Consider the following 1346-nt stretch of genomic DNA (forward strand, 5'->3'; position numbering starts at 1 on the left):
TGAAAACCACAATGAGATGCCACCTTACTCCTGCAACAGGGGCCATAAAAAAAGTTGTTGTGGATCTGGTGAGAAGGGAACATTTCTACACTGCTGGTGGCAATGTAAACTAATACAACCACTATGAAAAACAGTGTAGAGATTCCTTAAAGAACTAAAAGCAGAATTACTATTTGATCCAGCAATCCCACTACTGGGTAGCTACCCAAAGGAAAAGAAGGTATTGTAGGAAAAAGACACATGCACATGCATGTTTATAGCAGCACAATTCACAATTGCAAAGATATGGAAGTAACCTAAGTGCCCATCAACCAATGATTGGATAAAGAAAATGTGGTATATATGCACCATGGAATATTACTCAGCCATAAAATGGAATGAAATAATGTCTTTTGCAACAACTTGGATGGAGGCCATTATTCTAAGTGAGGTAACTCAGGAATGGAAAATCAATACTGTATGTTCTCACTTATAAGTGGGAGCTAAGCTATGAGGATACAAAGGCATAAGAATGATATAGTGGGCTTTGGGGACTCAGTCAGGGAAGGATGAGAGGAAGGTGAAGGATAAAAGACTACATATTGGGTTCAGTGTACACTACCTAAGTGACAGGTGCACCAAAGTCCCAGAAGTCACCACTAAAGAACTTATCCATGTAACCAAAAACCACTTGTACCCCAAAAACTATTGAAATGGAAAATAAAATAAAATTAAAAAAATATAGTCATCTTGATCAGAAACCCTTGCCATTAATAAAAAAGAAACGAAATAGTTGCTAATTTAAGTATAAGCTGGCATACAGCTGAGTTCTTAGATCTATGGTGTGCATCACTGTAATAGTGCCTTTTCATGGCTGAGATGTCGTTGTTTAGTACAGTAGTTATATCAGCTACTAAGCTATCTTTGGAAACCTGGTGGTAGCAATTACCACAGAGATCTAGACCTAACCCACAGAACTTCAAGTTGTTCACCAAATGCTAGGTCCTTTGGTCAGGTCCAGAGACCAAAAAAATGGGTCATAGTAATGCCTGGGGTGATTGAATTATGAGAGAAAGATTCACAGTAAGTAATCTGTACACAAAATTGCCACTGACAGAAGAAAGCAAGTCATCTACTGATTAATAACTGTCAGAATTATTGGACACTGGAAATGCACACAGAGTCTTTTTTTTCTTATGTTCATTCAACAAAAGGAGTTAAATAACAATCAAAAGATTCTTCTGGTACATATAAAATCAAGGCAGAGAATATTTAAGCATCTTGGAAAAAACAGAAGTAAAACATTAACATGGAGATGGTAAGTTAAGTGTACAATCCCTCATTTGTGATTAAAAAAAATACTAAAA

General features: G+C 36.6%; 1 annotated feature.

Moving 5' to 3' along the window:
- Nucleotides 717-886: an enhancer, noted in NCBI's record as "experimental_30360 CRE fragment used in MPRA reporter constructs". NCBI's record gives its function as "activates a minimal promoter by MPRAs in K562 erythroleukemia cells, with activity observed for both the introgressed and non-introgressed 12:59574252 variant alleles {active_cell/tissue: K562}" and the evidence as "EXISTENCE:reporter gene assay evidence [ECO:0000049][PMID:34662402]".

Source organism: Homo sapiens, chromosome 12 (assembly GCF_000001405.40).
Source record: "Homo sapiens chromosome 12, GRCh38.p14 Primary Assembly".
Classification (NCBI taxonomy): domain Eukaryota; kingdom Metazoa; phylum Chordata; class Mammalia; order Primates; family Hominidae; genus Homo; species Homo sapiens.